Genomic DNA, 18,572 nt, shown 5'->3' with positions numbered 1-18,572 from the left:
GAATGAGGCTTTTTCTCCTGAGGGTTAAGGAGAAGCCAGGAATTGGTACCGCTGTAGGCCACTTGCTTGAGAAATGTTATCAGTGATATGAGGCAGGAAACAGGATGACAGCAAGATTGAGTGATGGCGGAGTTCAGCATATTTTAAAAGACAGATAGGGAAGAGCTAGTGGAAGTAGACTTGAGACGCTGGTGAGAGGCAATGTTCCAGAAGAAAATGACAAAGCAAGCTAGGTTCTTTTCTTTGTTGGGGAGGGGTTGGAGACAGGTGAACCTCATACAGGCCTGGGGGCAGCTCTTCCTCTAAGATGGAAGGGAAGGCTAGAAAGTGGAGGAGTCATAGCAGCCACTTCGGGTGCCTGCCTTATGCCAGACTCTTTCATTTCCATTACACTTAATCCTCAGTCTTCATTTTCAGATAAGGAGAATGGCTCAGTGTTTCAGTGGTTTTCCACCTGGTGACACATTAGAATCCCCTGAGGAATTTGTTAAAACAGTGCATCTGGGTCTCACTCCCAGCTTTCCTGATTTAATTTGATCTGGGAAAGAACACTGGCATCAGAATTGTTTAAGATCTTCAGGTGACTCTTTTTTTTTTTTTCAGATGGAGTTTCGCTCTTGCCCCCCAGGCTGGATGCAGTGTCATGATCTCTGCTCACTGCAACCTCCACCGCCCGGGTTCAAGCCATTCTTCTGCCTCAGCCTCCGGAGTAGCTGGGATTACAGGAGCACGCCATCACGCCCTGATAATTTTTGTGTATTTTTAGTAGAGACTGGGTTTCCCCATGTTGGTCAGGCTGGTCTTGAACTCTTGACCTTAGGTGATCCACCTACCTCGGCCTCCCAAAGTGCTGGGATTACAGGCGTGAGCCACCATGCCCGGCCCAGGTGACTCTTATGTACAGAGTGGAGAACCAATGTAAGAAATCTGTCAGAGGTGACCCGCTTGCTGGGATGGAATTTAATTCAGGTCCGCCAATCCCAAAGCCCTTTCTCTTTCTCCTAGCACTGTGATTCTGAGTGTGGGTCCCACAGCAGCAGCATCGGAAACACCTGGGAGCTTTTCTAACAAAAAGAGTAGTTCTAATCTACTAAGTAAAAAACGCTGGGGTGGGGCCAGCAATGCGGTTTAATAAGCCCTCCAGGTGGTTCAAGTTTGAGACCCACCGCTCTGAAATCTTGCTACTCAGTGTGATCCACAGATGTGTAGGATCGATATCATGATATTAGAAATGCAGAACCTCAGGTCCCCCAAGACCTGCTGAATCAGAATTTGTGTTTGGCAAGATCCCGAGATGCTTCGCATGGTTAGAGTTTGAGAAGTAGTGCGTGAGGCCACTAGTTTCCAAACCTGGCCAATGATCAGAATTAACACACTTTTTAAAAGAAAACTACAGATTCCCTGTAATCCCAGCACTTTGGGAGGCCGAGGAGGGTGGATCACCTGAGGTCAGGAGTTCGAGACCAGCCTGGCCAACATTGTGACATTCTGTCTCTACTAAAAATACAAAAAAATTACCAGGCATGGTCGTGGGCACCTGTAATCCTAGCTACTTGGGAGGCTGAGGCAGGAGAATCGCTTGAACCTAGGAGGCGGAAGTTGCAGTGAGCCAAGATCGTACCACTGCACTCCAGCCTGGGCAACAGAGCAAGACTGTCTCAAAAACTACAGATTCCCCAGATATTCCACACAAGTTTCTAGCTAATCAGGTCTGAGCTCACACCTAGGTCCCTTTTTTAAAGCTCCCCATAAATCTGATGATAGATTAAGTTTAGCATTGCTCCACAATGCTGCTCTCTGTAGAAGTGGGAATTTTCTGAGTATATTCTTTGTCCCAGGCCCCTCAAAAAGTGCTTTCCTCACAACTAGGCTTGCTAGATTTAGCAAATGAAAATACAGAATGCCTAGTTAAATTTGAATTTCAGATAAAGAGCAAATACTTTTTTAGTATAAGTATGTCTCAAATATTGTGTGGGCTATACTTATAAAATTATTTTAAGTAGTGAAAACAGGTTTAGCAAACTTACTAGTTAAAAATTAAATTTTATTAATATGATCAATTTAAATTTAGGAAAAGTTTCTAAAATTATGTATTGTTTATCTGAATTTCAAATTTAGCTGAGCATTTTGTATTTTACTTGGCAGCTCTACTCACAAAAGTACTGAAGTTCCAAGGAGAAGCTTGGCATAACCATATTGAGGGCAAGAAGAGGCAGAACTTGTCAGACATCAATAAGAAATGGATGAATGGGTGAATACCAAAGATATCATGTAGAGCTGCCTCAGTCAGCTTAGGCTAAGTTATCCTGCAGTAACAAATGACCTTCTCAACTCAGTGGCTAAATAAACCCCAAACTTAACTTTCCCTTCCCTCCCCTCCCCTCTCCTTTTCTTCCCTCCCCTTCCCCTTCCTCTCCCCCTCCTGCTCATCCTTCCCCTTCCCCTCCCCCTCCTGCTCATCCTTCCCCTTCCCCTTCTCCTTCCCCTCCTTTCCTCTTTTGAGACCGAGTCTTGCTCTGTCACCCAGGCTGGAGAGCAGTGGCACAATCTCAGCTAACTGCAACTTCTGCCTCCTGGGTTCAAGTGATTCTTGTGCCTCAGACTCCCGAGTAGCTGGGACTACAGGCCCCCACCACCATGCCTGGCTAATTTTTGTATTTTTAGTAGAGACAGGGTTTCGCCATGTTGGTCAGGCTGGTCTCAAAATCCTGACCTCAAGTGATGCACCTGCCTCGGTCTCCCAGAGTTCTGGGATTACAGGCATGAGCCACTGCACCTGGCCCAAACATTTGTTTCTTATTTGCATTACATATCCATCGAGGTCAGCTATCTTCCTCCTCATTCTGTGACCAAGGCTCATAGGAGGTTTCTAACGGAGACATTTTTGTTCTCCTCAAAAAGGAAAAAAATAAAAGTGTGACATGACTCTTACAGCTTGGGTGACCAGCTATCCCAGTTTGCCCAGGACTGGGGGTTTCCTGGGACACAACACTTTAGTGTTAAAACCAGAATAGTCTTCGTCTTCAGGTAACTGAGGTTGGTCACCCTACAATAAAGCTTCTACCCGAAAGTGGCATGCACCACTTCCATTGGCCAAAAAAGTCATATGACCAAGTTTGTCATCAGGGAGTGAGCATTATAATCGTCCAGTATTGAGGGACCCTGTAGGATAAACATACCCAATAGCAATAACTTAAGCATACCCTTAGAATGACCCTGTATGGCAGACGCACCTGAGTGTGTGCTCTGAGCTAGGGAATCTGGGAGTGGCCAACCCAGAGATTCCTTCCTGTCTATGAGGAACATGTGAGCTCCACCCCACTCCCTTCCTGTCTGGTGGAATGTGGGCCGTATAAGGGATGGAGGCCATTTGTTTTAGGTTAAATGCAGGTTACCAGGTGAAGGTTGTTAAGGGGAGGGTTTTAAGTGAAAATACTGTATAAACTGCATGCTGTTTGCAAGTGGTTGCGTTTTTCCTGTCCAGTCTGCCACTGCTGGAGACTCTCCCCTGTATGTAAGCCCCAAATAAAACCCTATGTCTTTTTTTTTCTTTTGAGACGGGGTTTTGCTCTTGTTGCCCAGGCTGGAATGCAAAGGCACAATCTTGGCTCACTGCAACCTCCACCTCCCGGGTTCAAGCGGTTCTCCTGCCTCAGCCTCCCAAGTAGCTGGGATTATAGGCGCTTGACACCATGCCCAGCTAATTTTTTATATTTTTAGTAGAGATGGGGTTTCACCATGTTGGCCAGGCTGGTCTTGAACTCCTGACCTCAGGTGATCCACTCGCCTTGGCCTCCCAAAGTGCTGGGATCACAGGTGTGAGCCACCGTGCCCGGCCAAAACCCCATGTCTTATTTGCTACCTTTGGGTCTCTTCTTTGACCTCTTGAACCTGGTGCCTTCCCTACTGAGGTTAATTAGGGTTCAGCAAAACAGACCCATGGAGAGGAGCAATGAGTATTTAATAATGCAGTCTACCACAGAGAGCAAGCGGGGGGCACACTTCAGGAAGGCACACGCCTTCATTAGGAGGAAAATAGAAAAGGAAGGCCCTTCCGGACGGCAGAGCCAAAGGCCATGAAAGAGAATGGCATGAGGAACCCCCTTCCTCCAGGGGCAGGACTAAGACCTAATCTAGAAATATTCCCTATCCCCAGGATAGGGGGCCCCTTATGATGTCAGCCCAGTGGAATTTCAAGATGTCCATAGATCAATGATTACCCATATCTGCTGTCCACATGCTATTCTAGAGGCTTGCCCACTCCCTCATGCCTTGAACCTGTAAACACTGTGTAACCTTGACCAATATCATGTCTCTCATTCTTTCCTTTCTAAATAATGTTAGAAATGCAGAACCTCAGGCCTTCCCCCAGATCTGCTGAGTGTTTATTGAGATTACCCCATCCCTGTTCTTCTTTGGCCCATGGGGTATGTGGAGGGCTGATAACTAGACTTCTTAGTTCCGCATCTCCAGACCAAGAGGAAACCACATCCAGACCCAATGTAGGAACTACCATGAGATCTTGGACTTAATGTCTGATGCTTGTATTAGGGATGCAAATAATTGTGACAAGGAGGGATACTACGGTAGCTTGTGATACTATTTCAAAATATCTGTTGCCCCTCTAGGAGTGTTCCTTCCAGGTCGCTTTCTACATAGGGATTATATTTGTAACCCACTGAACTTAGGCTTAGCCATGTGACTTGCTTTGGCCAATAGAATGGGAGCAGAATGAACACATGTCACTTCTGAGGAGGAGTTTGAAGAAAAATCACATGGCTCACCATTGTCTCTTTTTCTTCTGCCTGGAGACTAGTAATGTTCCAGATAGAGCCTGCTCCTTCAGCCTGGATCCCAGAGCAGAGTTACAGCCAATCCACAACATCTGTATAGTATAAGTGAGAAATAACTGGAGTTATAAGCCACTGAGATTTTGGTGATGTTTGTTACCACAACACAACCAAGCCTACCCTTTCTTCATGATACAAGAGTAAATAGCAGGGCATGGTGGCTCATGCCTATAATCCCAGCACTTTGGGAGGTCGAGGCAGGTGGATCACTTGAGGCCAGGAGTTCAAGACTAACCTGGCCAACATGGTGAAACCCTGTCTCTACTAAAAATACAAAAATTAGCCATGCATGGTGGTACGCACCTGTAATCCCAGCTACTTGGGAGGCTGAGGCAGGAGAATCACTTGAACCTGGGAGGCAGAGGTTGCAGTAAGCTGAGATCATGCCACTGCACTCCAGCCTGGGTGACAGAGCAAGATTCCATCTCAAAAAAAAAAAAAAAAAAAAAAAGAGTAAATGAACAAGATGACAGGAGAATGCTTCTGTGTGATTCCATTTTTACAAAGTTTGCAAGCAGGCAAAACTAAACAATATATTATTTAGGAAAAAACCTGGAGTGGCAAAATTATAAAGAAAGCAAGAACATGAGTAACACAAAACTCACAAGGGTGGTTACTTTCGATCGAGGGTCAGAGAAACACAATTGGAGAGTTCTAAACTACTAAATTATATTTACTGTCTTGTGTGTGAATTTTACAACTTAAAGAAAAAGATTATGCCTGTAATCCCAGTTACTTGGAAGGCTGAAGTGGGAGAATCATTTGAGGCCAGGAGTTTGAGGCCAGCCTTGGAAAAATAGTGAGACCTCATCTTTAAAAAAATTTACTTAATTAGCCAGGCGTGGTTGTGCATGCCTATAGTTCCAGTTGCTCTAGAGACTGAGACAGGAGGATTGCTTGTGAGCCCAGGAGTTTGAGGCTGCAGTGAGCTATGATTGTGCCACTGTGCTCCAGCCTGGGCAACAGAGAGAGATCCTATCTCTTTAAAAAAAAAAAAAAAAAAGAAAAGAAAAGAAAAGAAAAAAAGAGCTTGCCAGACTGTTTTCCAAGTGACATACCAATATCTTCTGTCCATGTGCTGTTCTAGAAGCTTGCCTTTGGGAGGCTGAGGTGAGTGGATCACAAGGTCAGGAGTTCAAGACCAGCCTGGCCAATATGGTGAAACCCCATTTCTACTAAAAATACAAAAATTAGCAGGGTGTGGTGGCATGCGCCTGTAGTCCCAGCTACTCAGGAGGCTGAGGCAGGAGAATCACTTGAACCCGGGAGGTGGAGGTTGCAGTGAGCTAAGATCTAGTCACTGCACTCCAGCCTGGGCAACAGAGAGAGACTCCCTCTTGACAAAAAAAAAAAAAAAAAAAAAAAAAAAAAGAGGAAGCTTGCCCACTTCCTCATGCCTTGAACCTGGGAAAACTCTGTAACCTTGACCAATATCATATGATGCCATATGGTGCTCTGTGACTTCTGAGGCCAGGTCATAAAAATGCCATGCACTTGTGCTTTGCTTTCTCGGGACACCTTCCCTTGGACCCCAGTTACCAGCTAGTCTGATGAAGCCCAGCTAGCCCGTGTGGAGAGAACACATGGAGGGACCACGTGTAGGTGTTTGGGCTGAAAGCCCAGCTGAGGTTCCAGCCAAACCACCAGACATGTGGGTGAAGACGCCTCCGGATGACTCTAGCCCCCAATTGTTGAGTCATTCTCAGCTTTCAAGTCTTTCCAGCTGAGGTCTCAGACACCAGGGAGCAGAGGCTAGCCACCCCTGCTAGTTGCTGTCTAATTTCCTGACTCAAAGACTCTGTATGCAAAATAAAATGGTTGTTTTGTGCTACTTACATTAGGGGTGGTTTGTTATGTAGCAGTACATAACTGAAATCATTTATACATGCACACACACAGAGTTTGTGTGTGTGTGTGTGTGTGTGTGTGCACGCGCACATGTGTGTATGTATAAGAATTTCTCCCTTGGGCCCTATAAAAATAACATTAGATGGTTAGTTGCCCACAGAATGCTCTGTGGGAGACCCTGAGGGGTAGAAGTCCTGTAGGGGAGAAAAACAGAAAAAGACTATGAAGTCTAGGGTTTGGTCTTTGAGAAAGAAATTCTCCCTTCTTCTATGGTAAAGAAGAGGAAGGTGATTCAGTATTTGTGGCCAGAGAGTCCCACTAGACCGTTTCTTTCATGTGATCATTCACTGGTTTATTGAAGAATGAGTTCATTCATTACACAGTGGCTGATCATCTACAGGCATCAGGCTGTGAGTGGAGACCCCAATGTGTCATGGTACCTACCTCAAGGTTTGGACTCTCAGAGCCCAGAAGGAAAAGATGGAGAACAAGTGAATAGAGTTTGCTCCACAGAGTGTTAGGATAGTAGCAGGCAGGAGGTGCTGTAGAACTCCAGCCAGGTCTCACAGAAGACATCTGGGGTGTTCGAGAAAAGCTGAGTATTGGGAAAAAGGCTGAGGCAGGGCTTGCATGGCTGACATAATGTAAAACAGTCTTGGAACATGCCTGGGGTCCAGGGTCTAAAACCCCTCATGGCCTTTGGAACACCAAGCTCTGTGCCAAAGGGTGGAAACCTGCCCTGCCACACCACAATCTAAGCCCAGGGCATAAAACCCCTTGTGGCTTGGACAGAATCCAGGGCTCAGGGCTTAAAACTCCTTGTGGCCTCTGGAATGTGTCTAGACTTGCTGGCTTCTTGCTTCTAGCACTCCCAGGCTATTAGATCGATTGTAACTTAAACTAGAAGAACATGTTTCCCATTATCTCAAGTAGCAGAACATGTTCCATATGCTTCAAAGAAAATGCTAAACTGTCACAGTTGTAGATCATGTGCTTGATACACTGCTTTCTTTCAACCCCCACATCCTCACCACCTGCTTCTTTGTTTGATCACCAATAAATAGTGTGGGCTTCCAGAGCTCCGGGCCTTAGCAGCCTCCATACTAGCATTGGCCCCCTGATCCCACTTTATGCACTCTTGTCTTGTCTCATTCCTTTAACTCCACTGGACTTCGTAGCCCCCATGGCCTGGTGTTGGGTCTGATCACCCCAACATGGGGCCCCACCATCAATTCACATCTCCTTCCTCAACTGTATAGAATCTGGAGCAGAAAGAGCTGTGAATCTCAAGACTTTCTGCCGCTTGTTTATTCAGAGTCCAAACTCCCTAAGTATGGTGACCTCACAAGTATCCAGACACATTTTCCAGACTTCATGGCATCTGGAGAAAGGACGACTAACACAGCTGTGCCATGCCACTGTGCAATCAGGCACTCAGCTGCAGACACCAAAGGGAACTGTTTCACTACAGCTTGACTTGGCCTCTTGGCTGGCCCGTGGCTCTCTTGGCCTGCCGCAACAGGTACCCTTCACTGAAAAGGTATCTTGCTGAGCACAGGTTTCTGCCCAGCCCTCCTGCTGTGGCTTAAGACCTCCAGCACCTCCTATTTACTTGTGTGAGCAGGCAGCCATGTTCCTCCAGGCCTTGGGAAGGAAATATGATAGGAGAATGCCTTGGTGACAAGGATGCCCAAGGTATTGGGTTGAATTGTGTCCCCCCAAAATATATGTTCAAGTCCTAACCCCTGGTATCTGTGAATGTGACCTTATTTGGAAATAGGGTCTTTTGCAGATGTAATCAAGTTAAGATGAGGTCATACTGGATTAAGGTAGGCCCTAAGGCCAAAGACTGGTATCTTTATAAGAGAAAGGAGGAGGAGATTTGAATACGGAGAGATACACAGGGAAGAGGGCCAAGTGCAGATGCTGGAATGATGCATCTACAAACCAATACCACTAAGGATTGCCAGCAACTACCTGAAGAGAGGAGAGAGGCAAGAAAGGGATCCTCCTTCATACCCCTCAGAAGGAACCATGATTTTGAACTTCTAGCCTCCAGAACTGTGAGAGAACAAATTTCCGTTGTTTTAAGCCCCCAGGTTTGTGGTACTTTGTTACAGCAGATCTAGGAAACTCAGGGAAAAAATCCTAAATATTGCATAGCTTTCTCTTTCCAAAGAGAGGATATAGAGGAATGGTCACAAACACAAACATTTTAGTGATGCACACACCTGGTCCAAACTCTGAATCAATCATTCACTCGTTAATGTCTTTGGATGCATGATTGAACCCGAGTTTCCTTATGTGCAAAAGTAATAAAATGTACTCTTCAGATAATGTATGTAAAGTGCCAGGAACATAGCAGGTATTATGTAAATGGTAGATAATACCAGTATACTAGCCTCAGATTCCATTCTCTGCAATTACCAAGGAAGTCTTCCTTTTCCCTGGGATCCTGCATTAGGACAGAAGCAAGCAGAGTGCTGTTATTTCTATATCATGGGGGGCTTCTGGAAGGAAAGAGTTAGCACATGCTTGAAGATAACCAAAGCTAGAGTCTGTATAGACATAAGGAGGGTGAGGCAAAGTGGGGAAGCTAAAACTTCTCTGGAAAATTGTGGAAAAGCCTATATTCATTTGAAATACAAGGGATATTAGTCAATTATGCTGCATTTAGTGAAATGCCTCCTTCATGTGCATTAAAACAATGTAATGTCTAAGATCATTGTTTGTTCTTAGGAAGGGAGTGTTTGGCATTAATTTTACCCAAGAGTAAGCTACAGACTGTCAGGAAAAGAAACAAGAGGCCCTCAGGAGGAAGAGGAGGCATATCATACACCAGAGGTCAGGACCTCCCAAGTGGTGAGACTGGGGATGCCCAAGTCTGCCCTGGACAATTCTGTTGAAGCCTCCTAATATGGTGTTATTCTACACCCTTAATTAACATTTCTGGAAAATGTGCTATGGACAATGATTCTAAATGAGTTTGCCATAACGGGTGGATGGGAGTAGAGGCAGAGGTGGAGGGGTATTCTAAACTGATAACAACCTAGTAGGAAGGAGGATTTCCTTGAAGGAGGAGGTGGAGAATCACACCAATGATGGAGGAGGGGCTCTCTGAGCTGGAAATAACTGGATGCATTGAGTCTGGAAAGGAAGGCCAGGATCCAAGATGCCCATAGCACCCATGTTTTTTCTTTTATCCAGTAGACTTACATTTAGGCTGTATATTTTTGGGGAGGAATGTACATACTCATATGATAAAATTACAGAGAAAAGCATGGGAATGGTTAACACAAAAATCAGAATAGTGATCCCTCTCGGGGGATGAGAGGGCAATGAGATGGGGCAGGGCCTGCAGGTGCTTCTGAGGTTCTGAGAATACTCTATTTCTTCAGCTGGGAGTAGGATACAGACTGTTCATTTTGTTAGCATTCTTGAAGCTTAACATATACATTATATGCTCTCCTGTGTGATATGTTTCTCAATACAAATTGGAAAGATTGTTCATCACTGAAAAGTCTATTAAGCAAAAAAACTGTAAATAATCAAGTGTTCATTGTTAGCAATCTAGTTAAATAACTTATAAAATATCTGTTGAGCAATATACCAAATAGTCATTAAAAATAATAATTTAATTTTACTTTGTTGACATGAAATGATGTCTAGAATATATTAAGTGGAAAAAGCAGCCTAAAGAACTATTTGTACCAAGTGTCCATCAACAGATAAATATAAGAACACAATGTTGGCCGGGCGCGATAGCTCACTCCTGTAATCCCAGCACTTTGGGAGGCCGAGGTGGGCGGATCACAAGGTCAGGAGATCGAGACCATCCTGGCTAACACGGTGAAACCCCGTCTCTACTAAAAATACAAAAAATACAAAAAATTAGCCGGGCGTGGTAGCACATGTCTGTAGTCCCAGCTACTCAGGAGGCTGAGGCAGGAGAATCGCTTAAACCCGGGAGGCAGAGGTTGCAGTGAGCAGAGATCGCACCACTGCACTCCAGCCTGGGCAACAGAATGAGACTCCGTGTAAAAAAAAAAAAAAAAAAAGGACACAATGTTATATATAAATACATACAAAGAAAGGAAATTCTGACACATGCTATAACATGGATGAAGCTTAAAGGCATTATGCTAAATAAGCCAGACACAAGAGGGCAAATACTGTATGATTCTACTCAGATGAGATACCTAAAGTCACCAAATTATGCAGGGACAAAAAGCAGAATGGTGGTTGTCAGGGGCTTGGGGGAGGGGTAATGGGGGTTCTTATTTAATGCAGGGGTCCTCAACCCCTGGGCCATGGACTGGCACCTGTCCGTGGCCTGTTAAGAACCAGGCTGCACAGCTGCACAGCTGCACAGCAGAAGGTGGTTTCAGAGGTGGAACAGTTTCATGCTGAAAACATCCCCGCTACCCACCCTGTCCGTGGAAAAATTGTCTTCCATGAAACCAGTCTGGTGCCAAAAATGTTGGGGACCACTGACTTGATGGGTACAGAGTTTCAGTTGGAGAAGATGAAAAAGTTCTGGAAGTGAATCGTGGTGATAGATGTATAACAATGTGAATGTACTTAGTGCTATAGGACTGTACACCTAAACATGCTTAAAATGGTAAATTTTGTTATTTATGTTTTACAACAATAAAAAAACTGTATGTATAGTATGAATACTCCCCTTTCTCTTTGTGTTTATATGTGTGATGTGATGTGTGTGTGTGTGTCTGTGTGTGTGTGCATGTGTGAGAGAGAGAGAGAGAGGCAGAGATTAGTTGAGAACGCATATATAGGAAAAGAGTCTGGCAGGACTTATATTAATATGTCAGCAGTGGTTATCTTTTGGTAGTCAGATTACTGGTGATTTTTATTTACTTCCTTATACTTCATGCTTTTCTATATTCTAGGAGTTTTGGTTATGAGCAAATTTTTCATATGTAATAAGAAAAAATAAACCTGACCTCAAAAGAAAGGAATTCCATACTCTATCAAGAAGCAGCAATTTTTGGCCGGGCGTAGTGGCTCACACCTGTAATCCCAACACTTTAGGAGGCTGAGGCAGGGGGATCACTTGAGGCCAGCAGTTCAAGACCAGCCTGGCCAACATGGTAAAACCCCATCTCTACTAAAAATACAAAAATTAGCCGGGCATGGTGGCGTGCGCCTGTAGTCCTAGCTACTTGGATGGCTGAGGCACGAGAGTCACCTGAACCCAGGAGGTGGAGGTTGCAGTGAGCTGAGATCATGCCACTGCATTCCAGACTGGGTGACAGAGTGAGACTCTGTCTGAAAAAAAAAAAAAAAAAAGCAGCAGCAATTGTGACTGATTAAACAGACCTGACATACTCAAATGAGCAAGATAAAAGAAAATGAAAAGGAAGTTATTCTCCAATAAAAGTAATGCATTCAGTAAGCACCGGAAATCAATAAGGTGAGACAGGCCGGCTTTAGCGTCTCTTCTTTGACATTCTCATGCTCATGTGATAATCGAACAGCTTCTGAAACTGCTCCTATTCTTTTATTGCTAGTCTTAGAACCACTCCCCAACCCCTGGCCTTCCTAAATGTATTTTTAAAAAATCAATTCCAACTGGGTGCGGTGGCTCACGCCTGTAATCCTAGTACTTTGGGAGGCCGAGGCAGGTGAATCGCTTGAGCCCAGGAGTTCAAGACAAGCCTGGGCAACGTGGTGAAACCCTGTCTCTACAAAAATTACAAAACTTAGGTGTGGTGTTGTGTGCCTCTACTCCCAGCTACTCAGGAGGCTGAAGTGGAGTTAATACTCCCTTCTTGAGCCCGGGAGATCAAGGCTACCGTGAGCCAAGATCACACCACTGCACTACAGGCTGGGCGACACAGTGAGACCCTGTCTCAAAAAACAAAAACAAAAAACAAAACAAAAACCCACCCCCCCACACAAAAACAAACGAAAATCAATTCCATAACTTCCTCCAGTCTTACCTGTAGGGTACATTCTGCCCGAATGCCCGAACAACCTTTATATTCCTGACAAACAGCAAACTTGGGGCCTTTAACACCCTTCTTCACACACTCTGCTTTTTCCTGGATATCAGCATAGCCTCAGGACCCTAGCCAGCTTTCCTTTCAGCCTTCAGGTTCAAAAGATTTCTTTCCATCTGTGTGCTGTATCTTCCAGCATTCCTATTTTTGAAATAACCTCAGGCTTTGGTGGTAGCCGTGAGCTTAAACCTTATTGCTCTGCCTGCTCCAGTTCCTTGAAGCCTGGCCTACTGTTCCCTCACTGCAAGCTCAGTCACTTCTGACTGGTGTAGCTTCAGCCTCCTGATCATGCAAACTATGGCACAGGCATATTATGAATAGTTAGGCAGCTATTAATATGTTTGCCCTGGGAAAATACTCTTTTTGAAATTATCTTTTTTGGGCCAGGCACCGTAGCTCACATCTGTAATCCTAGCACTTTGGGAGGCTGAGGCAGGCAGACTGCTTAAGCCCAGGAGTTCAAGACCAGCCTGGGCAACATGGCAAAACCCCGTTTCTACAGAAAAATACAAAAATTAGCCAGGTGTGGTGGTGCACACCTGTAGTCCCAGCTACTGGAGAGGCTGAGGTGGGAGGATGGCTTGAACTTGGGAAGTTGAGGCTGCAGCGAGCTGAGATTGTGCCACTGCACTCCAGTCTGGGTGATAAAGTGAGACCTTGTCTCAGAAAAAAAAAATACAGATCTGTTTTGAATTGTTTAGATTCAGGAGGTATATGTGCGGGTTTATTACATGAGTTATATTGTATAATGCTGGAGTTTGAGCTTCTATTGAACCCATCACCCAAATAGTGAACATTGTACCCAGTAGGTAGTTTTTCTTTTTCTTTTTTTTTCCGAGATGGAATTTTGCTCTTGTTGCTTAGGCTGGAGTGCAATGGTGTGATCTCAGCTCACTGCAACATCTACCTCCCGGGTTCAAGCAATTCTCGTGCCTCAGCCTCCCGAGTAGCTGGGATTACAGGCACATGCCACCACGCCTGGCTAATTTTTGTATTTTTAGTAGAGATGGGGTTTCACCATGTTGGCCAGGCTGGTCTCAAACTCCTGACCTCAGGTGATCCACCTGCCTTGGCCTCCCAAAGTGCTGGGATTACAAGGCGTGAGCCACCATGCCCGGCCCCCAGTAGGTAGTTTTTCAATCCTTCCCTCCCTCCTTCCCTCCCTCCCCATTTTTGGAGTCCCCAGTGTCTGTTTCCATCATTATGTCCATGAGTACCCATTGTTTAGCTCTACTTATAACTGAGAACATGTGGTATTTGATTTTCTATTTCTTCATTAATTCATTTAGGATAATGGCCTCTAGCTGCATTCCTGTTGCTGCAAAGGACATGATTTCATTATTTTTTTTTAATGGCTGTATAAAATACTCTCGATCCACATTGCATATACAGTCTTGATTTCAAATGAAACTTAAAAAGGCACAGGACAAAACTAGGAAAGAAATATTTAAAAAATATTAATAGTTTGCTTCTGGGTAGTGAGATGATGGACACTTCCCCCCTTTGTCTTTATTCTTATACGTTTCAAGTGTTCCACAGTGAACACAAATCACTTAAAATCTGGAGGAAAAAGCTTCAAACAACTTCCTACACATAAAAGAAGAAACAGATTACACCTGGACTTGGGGCTTTAGTCTTAAGTGCTAGGCTTCTGTGTATATCACGGTGGCCCATTGAGAATGTGACCTATGTTTTGTCTTTTTGTTGTAGCATGAGTTTCCTGTTTGTGCTGGGATGGGGCAGAGGGCAGATAAGTCCTTAGGTTTTTATATCTGTGTTCTTCATGGTAAAGCTCTAGTATGGAGAAAATGAGCGAAAAAACTCTTTGTTTTGGGAGGAGTTAGTGTTTTTTTTTAAAAAGGCTGGCCGGGCGAGGTGGTGCATGCCTGTAATCCCAGCACTTTAGGAGGCCGAGGTGGGTGGATCACCTGAGATCAGGAGTTCACGAGCAGCCTGACTAATATGGTGAAACCCTGTCTCTACTAAATACAAAAAAATTAGCCGGGCATGGTTGTGGGTGCCTGTAATCTGAGCTACTTGGGAGGCTGAGACAGGAGAATTGCTTGTACCTAGGAGATGGACGTTGCAGTGAGCTGAGATCGCGCCATTGCACTCCAGCCTGGGCAACAAGAGCGAAACTCTGTCTCAAAAAAAAAAAAAAAAAAAAAAAAGGCCTTGGAGTGGTTCTTAGGGGCTGGTGTTGAAGGGACAAGCTTTTCAATGAGACACTGCTGTCTGAATCCAGTTCCCGCTTTGAATGGAAAAGGCTGCATAAATGCCTGGAAGACCTGGGAACCAAGAGCCAATGCACTGGGAGACCAAGAGGGGCCCCCAAGTTCATGGAGGACCTGCGTTCCACAGCTGGCCTGGGCAGGGGACAGTGGAATGAGGTTTTCCTTCGGCCACGGACCCTGCAGCAGGAAGAAGGAACTGCGGCTCTGCAATAGGAGACTCAAGTTTCCCATTTCCCATTGACAGTAGAGTCTGGTGGACTTCCTTGGTGGCAGATTCCTCTGCGATGGCAGCCTGCCCTCCTACCTAATTTCTGGGGATCAATTACTGCCCTCGAACCCACCATCTCTGGAATGGCACCTGCGACTGCTGTGCCATTCTGTATATTATGGGGTAGCCGGTCGTACTTCTCAAGCCCATCCCTATGAGAGAGTTAAATTCTCCAATTCATGGTTCAAGAGGTTTTTTTCCCCTTTCATTTCATCCATACCACTGTCTGCCCAACATTGTGACAAGAAATTCAGGGCTGCCTTCCCAAGTTATGAGTTGTGACCAATGATCAACCTAACGAATTTTGATCAGATCTGTGGGTCAGAAAATTGGAACAGGAAGTAATCTGTAGGCGTCTCCCAGGGACAAATAAATAGCCAGTTTGGATTTCCTCCAGGTCTGGTCTAGGCAGGTAGGTGGTCAGAACCATGCCAGCTTGTCTAGCCACAGCGAACATTTTGTGAGGATGTGAGTGGGTGTCAAGTGGCTCGCCTGGGTGGGCAGATGTACCCCTCTTCCTGGATCCCCTGGCATATGGGCATTGGTGAGACTGCAGAGCTGTGACCAGGTACAGCAGAGAAGAGAGCCCCAAACATGGAAGAGGGCATGATGGGAGATGCTGGAGAGGAGAGAAAATTTCCATTTGGCTTTTTGAGCTTCTTGTCAGGTCCTCAGAGCACAGCAACTTGGCAGCTCTCTGCGTGCCCCATTCCTAGTCTTCCTTCATGAATTTTTCATTTCAGGCAAAGAGCCCTTATCTTTCGCTGGAGCTGCTTTCCCATCAGCTGGTGACTAGGCAGATGAAGGTTGCATTAAGGCAGGAATTATCCATCCCTTGAGAGAGAAATGGCACTCTGTGCCCTTGAAAGGATGGCTTCTGCGCCACCACCCATTACTGCAGGCTTCTGTCCAACGTTGGATTGCTGTTTTTATTGAGATATTGTTGAGGGCTGAAAGAGAAAGGCTTCAAGGGCAGATACTATGGTCTTGTCTGAAGAGTGAGGTCTTTCCTGCTGCCAATCATTGGACATGAGGGGGCTCCACAGCAGGAAAGAGGAATTAAGAAGGGACTTGGCCTGTCACAACCCAGATTTCCAGGAGTCTCGATGTCCAGGGGCACTCCTGAGGGATGGAGGGAGTTAAGGATGTCATCTCTCCTTGTCCCCATCCCCTGGGCCCAGAGCAGGAGAAGCTCCTGCTGTGCACCTCCTCGGGCCATGTTCCTTTCTACAAAGGGAGTCCATACACCCACCCAAGACTAGGCTCCGTGTACCAGGACCCCAGAGTTTCTGTCCAAATTACAGCAAGCCCTCTTCTGTGCCTGCGGGGCATCTTCATTTTCTCTAGGTCTCTCTTCCCAAGAGTGGACCTCACTACCTGTGTTCACATGCTAGGTACTAGGAGTGGCCAAGGGGTAGCTGTTTTCAGGGTTGTAAGGGGTGTGGGTGTGGAGGAAGCTTGGATGTGTGAGCTGGAGTATCCACACGTATGTGAGGCTCCTCACGATCTGAAAGGATGAGCGTGGGTGGGTGGACCTGGGGCCAGAAGTGGAGAGCCAGGGGAATGGATCTCCAAGGAGGCTGAAAATCCTAAAAGTCAACCTGGTCTTTTAGGTGGTTATGAAGGTATCTACCTCAAGGCGGAAGGATGGAGCATACTTCATTTAAGGGTTTATCAGCTTGACTGAACAACTTGAAAATATGCAGACATAGAGTATGTGAGCTTCCATTCGTTCTCTTGCCTGGCGCCCCACAAATGTTGGTGGGCTTAATTTGTAAGTGGGGAGCTAGGGAGTCCTAGTCCTGGGGTCCCTGATGGACTGGGTAGAGGGCGAAGAGCTGCAGGAAAGAAGTCAGACCTGGCAAACTAAAGTTTTGACTCACGGTGTCCCCTGAATCTATCTTCGTTTTCTTAGTCCTCAGCTTTTAGGACAGTGTGATTGGAAAGTTCTGGCAGGTTTGTTTCTTTCTTTTTTTTTTTTCATTCCTTCTTATTAATAGCGGGTTTCACTGGGAAGCCGCATGGTGGCAATAGATGGCCCCAGTTGGAGAGGGAGCAGCGCCACCCTGAGGCCATGGAGGGAATGGCAGCAGGAATGGGGGTGAGCCCAACGGGGCCTGCCTCTCAGGAGCCCATGCACCAGGCACGCCCCCACCGTGATTCCACGACCATGGCTAAACAAGAAGGGGCTGTATTCTTACCCTCTTACCAAAAATAGCATTTTCACCATTGAAGCTTCCCAAAGAACTCTCAGCTGTTTGCTAACCATGAAAATCAATCCTTGGAGTTCCAGAGGCGGCCAGTCCCCAACTTCCCAGTGGTCACTGTGTAACCCCTGCCCTACCTCATCTTCAGAAACCCCATCATCACTGCGCCAAACCCCAAAGGGAAGTGGAGATGAAGGAAGGGAATTAGCTATGAGCAGCTTAGAAGAGCTAACCCGGGGGTGGCTTCTCAAGCAGAACTCACATGCTTACAAAGGGGCTTCAATAGATCCTTTACCCTTTTCACTTAACACTTTTAAAAATGGTATCACGCTGGCCTAGCGCAGTGGCTCATGCTTGTAATCCCAGCACTTTGGGAGGCTGACGCAGGCGGATCACCTGAGGTCAGGAGTTCAAGACCAGCCTGCTAACACGGTGAAACCCCATTTCTACTAAAAATACAAAAAATTAGCCGGGCGTGGTGGCGTGTGCCTGTAATCCCAGCTACTCAGGAGGCTGAGGCAGGAGAATCGCTTGAACCCGGGAGGCGGAGATTGCAGTGAGCCGAGATGGCGCCATTGCACTCCAGCTTGGGCAACAAGCGCAAAACTCCATCTCAAAAAAAAAAAAAAAAAAAAAAGGTATCACTTATAAACTGGATTAACAGTGTGAAAAAAATTTAATGCCTACTGACTATATTTCCTGACTGCCTGCACACAAACTCTGACAGGTAGAGATTGCTATTGTCCCATTTTACAGACAAGAAAACTGAGGCCCAGTGAGGTGAATGACTCACTCAAGGTCATGTTGTAATAAGTAGTGCTGCTGGGTCTGATTTTTTTCATTGCACTGTTCTATCTTTTGCAAGCACCCTGAAGGAATTTTATTTTTTTATTTTATTTTTTTGAGATGGAGTCTTGCTCTGTCGCCCAGGCTGGAGTGCAGTGGTGCGAACTCGGCTCACTGCAAATTCCACCTCCCGGGTTCACGTCATTCTCCTGCCTCAGCCTCCTGAGTAGCTGGGACCACAGGCACCTGCCACCATGCCTGGCTAATTTTTTTGTATTTTTAGTAGAGACGGGGTTTCACCGTGTTAGCCAGGATGGTCTCGATCTGTGCCCGGTGCCTGAAGGAATTAAAGATTC

The 18,572-nt window shown here is 45.8% G+C and overlaps 1 protein-coding gene and 1 long non-coding RNA gene across 6 annotated transcripts in view, besides 3 other annotated features; both read right to left on the bottom strand.

The window, feature by feature from the left end:
* ABHD2 (abhydrolase domain containing 2, acylglycerol lipase) overlaps positions 1 to 18,572 on the bottom strand; it is a 161,358-nt gene that overhangs the window by 127,380 nt on the left and 15,406 nt on the right. The window contains exon 2 of one of the 2 annotated variants that reach the window (NM_001416423.1): positions 4,785 to 4,885. The exons of the other annotated variant lie outside the window; for it this stretch is intronic. The gene's annotated coding sequence lies outside the window, so the exon portion shown is untranslated. The remainder of the gene's footprint in view (positions 1 to 4,784; positions 4,886 to 18,572) is intronic. 2 annotated transcript variants of the gene reach the window in all.
* CARMAL (coronary artery disease region linked MFGE8 regulatory lncRNA) overlaps positions 1 to 18,572 on the bottom strand; it is a 43,232-nt gene that overhangs the window by 9,254 nt on the left and 15,406 nt on the right. For 2 of the 4 annotated variants that reach the window (NR_183882.1, NR_183880.1), the window contains exon 2: positions 4,785 to 4,885. This is a non-coding gene — a long non-coding RNA (coronary artery disease region linked MFGE8 regulatory lncRNA). Of the gene's footprint in view, positions 1 to 4,784; positions 4,886 to 5,153; positions 5,276 to 18,572 lie in introns of all 4 variants that reach the window. The other 2 variants (NR_183883.1, NR_183881.1) reach the window with 2 other exon arrangements.
* Positions 6,594 to 6,643: an enhancer, noted in NCBI's record as "active region_10040". NCBI's record gives its function as "activates an Ori minimal core promoter by ATAC-STARR-seq in GM12878 lymphoblastoid cells {active_cell/tissue: GM12878}" and the evidence as "EXISTENCE:reporter gene assay evidence [ECO:0000049][PMID:35858748]".
* Positions 6,694 to 6,743: an enhancer, noted in NCBI's record as "active region_10039". NCBI's record gives its function as "activates an Ori minimal core promoter by ATAC-STARR-seq in GM12878 lymphoblastoid cells {active_cell/tissue: GM12878}" and the evidence as "EXISTENCE:reporter gene assay evidence [ECO:0000049][PMID:35858748]".
* Positions 15,141 to 15,641: an enhancer, noted in NCBI's record as "H3K27ac hESC enhancer chr15:89602566-89603066 (GRCh37/hg19 assembly coordinates)". NCBI's record gives its function as "activates a minimal SCP1, AML or CMV promoter by ChIP-STARR-seq in naive H9 embryonic stem cells {active_cell/tissue: H9 hESC(naive)}" and the evidence as "EXISTENCE:reporter gene assay evidence [ECO:0000049][PMID:30033119]".

This window comes from Homo sapiens, chromosome 15 (genome assembly GCF_000001405.40).
Source record: "Homo sapiens chromosome 15, GRCh38.p14 Primary Assembly".
NCBI lineage: Eukaryota > Metazoa > Chordata > Mammalia > Primates > Hominidae > Homo > Homo sapiens.
This window is presented reverse-complemented; position numbering and strand designations above follow the sequence as displayed.